Below are 7,643 nucleotides of genomic sequence, written 5' to 3'. Positions count from 1 at the left end.
CCAAATTATAGATACAAGAAAGTATCTTTTCATTAATGTATTTAATCTAATAAATGTGAAATAAATAATAGAATTAAAACTTCACCATTTTTGCAACCCCCAGTGAACTAACATATATATTGGCATTAAGCATCCATGGTGGTGAATATCACAAATGAAGTTAGAGGAACACAGTCTGTTTTCATAACTACAGCTATCTTTTTAGTGTAAGACAGATTATGTCTTCTCGCTGATCAATATCCACAATAACTCCTCATTTCACCAAAAGTGAAATTCAACATCCTTACAAATACCTACAAGGACCTGTGTCATCTGTCCCTAAACCGGCTCCTTGCTTCATTTCTGTCTGTTGCACTTCTGCTACAGTGAAACCTTCCTGTTCCTTTGACATTCAGTGTGCTCCTGGCTTCAAAGCCTTTGCACTGGCTGTACCTTCTGCCTGCAGTCCTCTTTTCCCCAGTAGTCACACAGCTCACTTCCTCACCTCTTCCTAGTCTTTGCACAAAAGTCATCTTCTCAATGAAAGTATGGAACCATCCCATTTGAAGTTGCATCCATCTCTTTTTTTCCCTCATGCCACATGCGCGTGACTTCTGACCCTGCTCTGTATTGTATTAAGATTCTAATCATTACTACTAATATACTGTTATTGGGTTGAATTGTCCTCCTGCCTAAAAAAATACTGAAATATTAGTCTCCAATACCTCAGAATGTGACCTCATTTGAAAATAAAGACATGGCAGATGTGGTTAGTTCAACTAAGATGATGTTCTGCTAGAGTGTGGATGGGTTTGGGGGGTGATCCAATATGACTGGTGTTTTTATAAGAAGAGAGAGACTGGAGCACAGAGACACAGGGAGAACATCATATGACAAGGCAGAGGTTGGAGTTATGCAGCTGCAAGGAATACCAAAGATTGCCAGCTAGCCCCAGAAGCCAGAAAGGGGCAAGGAAGGGCTCTCCTTCAGGTTTCGGATGGAGCATGGTCCTGCAGACACACTGATTTCAGGCTTCTAGCCTCTAGAACTGTGAGACAATAAACGTCTGTTGTTTTAAGCCACCCAGCTTGTGGTGCTTTGTTTTGGCAGCCTTTGGAAACAATACATGTATCTATATAGTGTACCACTACTATATACTTCATTTTATTGTTCTTATTTCTATTGCTTGTTCACCTCCTGCCACTGACTCCCCACTTTCCAGAAAGCCAGCATCAAATGAGTAGGGATCTTTTTGGTCTGTTACCTAAAAGAGTCCCTAGTACACACTAGATATTCAATAGACATCTGTTGGTTAAAATAATCCTCATATATATTTCTTCATCATTTAATTGAATTGCTCTTTGTGCTTTTGCCAGCTTTTTTAAAAAAAAAATCTGGTGTTTTATTTTTCACAGTAATGGGCAACATAGCTGGAAGGAATAATTTTTTTTTTTTTTTTGGGACAGGGTCTTGTTTTGTTCCCCAGGTTGGAGTACGGTGGCATGATTATGGCTCACTGCAGCCTCCAACTCCTGGGCTCAAGCAATCTTTCCAACTAAGCCTCCTGAGCAGCTAGGACTACAGGCATGCACCACCACACCCAACTAACTTTTAAAATGTTTGTAGAGACAAGGTCTCCCTATGTTGCCCAGGCTAGTCTTGAACTCCTGGGCTCAAGCAATTCTCCCAACTTGGCCTCCTAAAATGCTGGGATTATAGGCGTGAGCCACCATGTCTGGTCAGGAATAATTTAAATAACCAGTAACACCCAATGTAACATCTCTTCCTGAATTAAATATTTCTAAATAATTGCAAAAAAGTAATGAGGTTGACTGTTTATAATTTCATCTCATTTCCCCTAGCCATGCTTTTGTGAAGATGCTAACAAGTAATCAAGTCAGACACCAGGAGAGAATAGGAAAAAGATAATCAGCCTTTGAGCAATGGAGAGTTGAATGAACATAAATTGTTTAACTCACTAAGCAAGTGTCTATAAAATAAATCATTATTCATAATAATCTTCTAAAACCATTAATCCCAATCTCAATGACTTCTGTCCACCAGCCCATCCAAAGTTCTCAACTTTCAATTATTAAGAACATTCGGTTATTTCTGTTTAGGAAAGATAAATTTCTTGCTTCGAGTTCAATAGTTTAAGAGCCTCAAATTAGTTTATCCAGCTGAAGTAAACTCATCTATCAACAGCCATAAAACCTGTGAAGTTTGGCAGTTATTGTATATTTGCTAATGCAAGTTTTTCTAACAGGATAAAACACCTCCCTATGCATTTATATGAGCCCTTATCGGTGAGATTTTTCTCCCTTCAGCCACTAACATCGAACCTTGAAATTAATTGTGCTAGTGAAAGTGCAAATGCCAATTGCTTTTAAATGAGAGGTCAGTCCTCAGATTACTCCCCTTTCCCTTCTTCTTTTGTCCATGGTGAGAATGAGAGAAGAAAAAAAAAGTTTTAATCACAAAAATCTTCCCTTCCAAAAGCAAGCCTTGATTAACATAGTTCTACTATGTCATAGTGCAGAGAAAAGGGATGATATTCGTGAGGGACATTCTTACTAGGCAGAAAAAAGTAGAATCCCTTAGAATAAAAAGGAAAGAGGAAAACAGAAAAGCAAAAGTGAACCAAGTTTTTTCACCTTTTCCATCTGTTATAATATAAAAACTTGGGACAGGCACTCATATAGCACCAGAAAGATTCGAGGGAAGCTAAAAGCAGAGGGGGCTTGTGACCAGATTTATATTTGAAAGTCTAAAAAAGGACTGAGAGGCAGAGTGCTATTGTACCAACATGGACTGGACACAACAGAGTTGATAGGGCAGCTTATCACATATGAGCAGAGAGAAAGCCTGAGTAAGCCCAAGTTGCCTCAGTTCTTTGTTATCTATGTGAGGAATAGTGTTTCGTAAGTTCCTGTGGAGTTCCAGTGATGAATGTAAAGTTCTCCAATAGTTTCCAGGTTTGGCAAGGGGCAATGTCATTGACTGCATAGCAAGACTCCACAGAGTAGACAGCCTAACCTTTGAACAAAACAGAGGATGTGGCTGACACTCAAGCAACGACAGTTTAAGTCAATGAGAATATCAATCCTACCATGTCAGCAGGGGTTGGGGATTCTGGAGCTGGACTCTGAGGCCTTAACGTTGTTGAGAACAGAGCATACATGGTACAGCAGAGCCTGATGTAACACAGAAACAAGGCAACATTATCGTGCCTCAACTGGAGTTCAGCAGGAACCAGTAGAGGATATTTTGTAGACCAGCACTATTTTCCCTGTGGCAAGAAATCACACCAATTTCCCGTATGTGGATATCATCCAGGGAAGAAGAAGGGCATAAAGAATGCCCCATAGAGATTTTGGATTTTTAATTAATTAAATACTTACCAGCATGGCTTATTACTTGTAAACTTAGAGCTTTTGTGTTTGTTTTGTTTCATTGTTTTCCCGTATTATGAACAGGAATCAATATGGAAAAGGCTTAAATCAGTTATAGGAACTGAAGATGTCAATGTTATTATGAACATCTGAATCGTATATGAAAATATGCTATTTTTTTTCAGATACTTGGTTCTTTAAAAGACTAGGCTAAAACAAAGTTTCAACAATTGAAAAGACTGACCTCAATTTAACAAGACAGCATATGAGACTACAGTATTGAAACAGTATAAAGTATATTAATCATTCTATATGTTGGCCAAAAAAAAATTATCTGTGCACATTTAAAATATTCTTTAAAATTATTTAATAATTGGAAATACAGATACCATTTAGACTTCACATTTTAGAATAGAAAAGATGTATATGAAAACAACTTTTATTGGTAGTGTTTAATGTTGTATAATGAGTCTGGAAAGGATTTAAAATTCTTTATTTGGTAAATTACTTGTGTATTACTAGGACAGTGGAGTTAAATTGACAATTTGACCAATTCTCAATAGGCAATAGCATTTTCCTACAGGACTTCCAAAACTGTACTTAATGTTGAAGATTATAATCATAATTTGGGCATACATCTGTCATTTAGTTGTGATTTTCCAGGCATATTAAATTTTTTCTGTACTTCACAAACTAAACATTAAGAAGCCTATGGAGTAGAAATGAATATAGATAGCTGGTAGATATTCTTCAAGTTTGAAATTAAAAGTTCCTCGAGAAAAATTTTTTCTTATTATATTTTTGGACAAAAGTACTGAGTTGGTTAGATATAACTTTTACTTTCAACAAAAAATACAATTCATTTGTTTATAAGACAACATGGAAGTGGAAGGTAATACAACCTTCTAAAGTGAAATTACAGATTGGATTGACACTGACTGCACAACTAAATAAATTAATCCTACTATAACACATAAAATTATCTTCCATATATTATGAACTGACATTTGAATCCAGAACTCTTTCACATAAATTAAATTCCATGTTAACAAAATTTCTATTTATTATATGTAAATAGTTATCATAAATATATTTTATATGACCCCAGCATTTGTTCTTTCCTTGGTAAACAGTGAGAATTATTACATATGAAGACAGTGTATAAGGGACACTAAATCAGCTTTAATCCCATTATTAAGAAACCCATATAGAATTGGATTAAGACAACAGGACATCATGCCCAACAAATGACAAATGCAATACACCAACTTGAAATGCCTATTTGAAATAAGATTGTCATTAAAATCAGTTACCACATGGAAAAGGTGTAGTGGCATCCAACTAACAGCAAATACTAATATCAGTATGGTCAGTCTGTAGAAAACACTTCGAGATCTCTTTTTTATTCTTGTAACAGAACGTTTTACTCTCAATTCATGAACATCTGAATTTTCTTCAGGTTTTATCTCAAAGCAAGTGGGGACCCCTGGTATGAACTTACTGGATGAAGAGAGCTGACTTCTTACAGAGCCAAAGTTTTCTGGAAGTATTCTGGAGTGGTTCTCTTGAGAAGGTCTTTCTGGAGCAGGTAACACACATGCTGTCTTCTTGCTATATCTTCTTCTGTGTTTTTTGATGAATGAATAACTCCATTTATGGCTGCCAGAGAGTTTCACCTGAGGCCCACTCTTTTTGGATGGATGAAGAGTTAAGTTGATCATCTCATTTTCTTCAAGTCTGTTTTCTTTGTTGGACAATCCACAGCTTATACTTCTGCAGACACTTGTATGACTTACAGTAAGACAAACTAAGGGCAGAATATACTGAACTAGCAATAAAGAGATAGTAAAGGCAATTCTGTATGAATCAGATGGCCATGACTCAACACATAAATACCTGCTGCTCAGCAATGCTGAACCAAATGTTTCTTGAAGTTCCACAAGACTGTGAAACACTGGAAGGGGAGAACAGATGGCAAAACCTAGTGTCCAGACAGTAGCTATCAGAAAGTAGCCATGGTTTGCTGTTAAATTATTAGATATGGGATGTTTTATCATATGATACCTGACAATGGCAATTGATATTAAAATTAAAGTTGAAACCAAAACTGACACACATTGAAGAAAAGGCATAATATGGCACATGACTTTGCCAAACATCCACTGATCCAGCAAGACAGACGTCAGTGTGAAAGGTGAGCAAAACAGCACAACCAAGATATCAGAAAAGGCCAGATTGCCTATGAGGAAGTTTACCGTAGTCTTCTGATTACGCTTTTTCATGAGAGCCATTAAAATAAGTAGATTCCCCATAAAGCCAAGAAGACTTACAAATGTATAGAGCCCAATCAGAAAATACTGTAAGTCATCTACACTGCTTTTATAGTCATCCCAGACTGGGAAATCAGAATTCCGAGTGGCAGCAGTATTATTCTCTGTGGCAAGTGTCTTGTTATAATACTCGTCGAGCTCTAAATCCATATTATAGTCCTGCTTGGAATAAAAAGACATTTGTCAGCAACCAAAAAAACATTACATGACTACTTTAAATTAATCTATTCAGAGGGAAACTAAATATTACAATCAGCTCCCGTGACCTTATTAATCTCCTAAGGAAGTTTATGATATCTTTTTTTTTTTTTTTTTTTTTTGAGACGGAGTCTCGCTCTGTCGCCCAGGCTGGAGTGCAGTGGCGCCATCTCGGCTCACTGCAAGCTCCGCCTCCCGGGTTCACGCCATTCTCCTGCCTCAGCCTCCCGAGTAGCTGGGACTACAGGCGCCCGCCACTGCGCCCAGCTAATTTTTTGTATTTTTAGTAGAGACCGGGTTTCACCGTGGTCTCGATCTCCTGACCTCGTGATCCGCCCGCCTCGGCCTCCCAAAGTGCTGGGATTACAGGCGTGAGCCACCGTGCCCAGCCCAGAAAGTTTATGATACCTTTAACTCGTTCCAAGGGCAATTCAAGTATCAGCCAATAATGATTATAGTAAATTTAATTTTATCATTACTTCTAAGATGTATTAATTTATGTTAAGGTAGTAGATTGCATTTTTAAAATTTCTGTAGTAAATAACGTAAGGAAAGAAAAAGGCAAATGTAGACAAGAACTTCAAGATACATGCTTTGCAATCACTCATTAATATTATTCTCCAAGTCAATATACCTGGTATGTAGTATAGTCACATAATCTTATCATAAAAATTCCATTTATTTCTATCTCAATCTAGGCCAAACTTAAAAGTCACTTGTCCTGGTCAACTCGGCTGGACATGATCTCCTCTTCAGAACTCCTGTTACATTCTGTTTACAGTTGTCTGATGCTACATATCATAATCTGCTTTCATTGCATTATAATGCCTACCCATCTACCTTGTTTATTTACAAGCAATGGAAAAGCAGAAACTATCTCTTACTCACTTTGGAATCCATCCCAATACATGGCAGAGTAACTTCATCACTGCAGGTATTAAATAAATGTTTATGAGAGAATAAAACGTTCAAACAAAACTCTAGTAACAAATATCACCTAGTTCGTACAATGTTCAAATTTATGCTCCTTGAGAATAGGATCACTATCTCATGACCCAGATGCATATAGTAGGCACTCATTAAATATATTTATCAAACTCTACTGTTGACTGTGTGGACGCAATGCTGGATGATGACATCTTTCTGTGACCAATCCTCAATGGTTTGAGATGTGCCAGATTATCTCTGATTAGGACAACCACTGACAGACTAGCAGGCTGTTGGCGTTTTAAAAAAACAAACAATCAAATTTCACCTGTTGATTAATTTAAAAACTGTGTATAGATTTTGGCTTATGAACGAGTCAATGAATTCATTGTTCAAGGAAAACATTATACCTTAAACGTAAATGTAGCAGTGATATTAATATAACTCCCGGTAATAAGTTTTCTTCATTTCAAATTAAATTAATGTCATACATCAATGGCATTACGTATTTACCTCTACATATTAGACTTTTGATGCTACTGCCTGATGAAGCACTAAATTGCCTATAACATACCAATAAGAGGCAAAAGGACTCCCTCCTCTCGTTTAAAAAAAAAAGGACTTTTTTTTTTTTTTACCTTTTTATTTTTCTTAGAAAAAGGGTCTCATTCTGTTGCCCAGGCTGGGGTGCAGTAGTGTGACCACAGCTCATTGTAACCTTGAACGCCTGGACTCAAGCAATCCTCTCATCTCAGCCTCCCAAGCAGCTGGGACTACAGGCACGTGGGACTACAGGCACGTGCCACTACATCTGGCT

At 37.2% G+C, this 7,643-nt stretch overlaps 1 protein-coding gene across 9 annotated transcripts in view; it reads right to left on the bottom strand.

Annotated features, from left to right (window-relative positions):
• Positions 1-3,721: 3,721 nt before the first annotated feature.
• The window catches only part of NPY5R (neuropeptide Y receptor Y5), an 8,512-nt gene continuing 4,590 nt past the window's right edge, over positions 3,722-7,643 (bottom strand). For 4 of the 9 annotated variants that reach the window (XM_017008256.2, XM_011532015.3, XM_047415745.1 and 1 more), the window contains 2 exons: positions 6,788-6,827; positions 4,191-5,860 (listed from right to left, as the gene is read on the bottom strand). In XM_017008256.2, coding sequence (XP_016863745.1) covers positions 4,514-5,860; positions 6,788-6,799 — 1,359 coding nt within the window. In that variant the 5' untranslated portion in view covers positions 6,800-6,827 and the 3' untranslated portion in view covers positions 4,191-4,513. Of the gene's footprint in view, positions 5,864-6,787; positions 6,828-7,643 lie in introns of all 9 variants that reach the window. The other 5 variants (NM_001317092.2, NM_006174.4, NM_001317091.2 and 2 more) reach the window with 2 other exon arrangements.

Source organism: Homo sapiens, chromosome 4 (genome assembly GCF_000001405.40).
Source record: "Homo sapiens chromosome 4, GRCh38.p14 Primary Assembly".
Lineage (NCBI taxonomy): Eukaryota > Metazoa > Chordata > Mammalia > Primates > Hominidae > Homo > Homo sapiens.
Note: the sequence above shows the minus strand (reverse complement) of the source record. Positions and strands in the feature narration are given on the sequence as shown.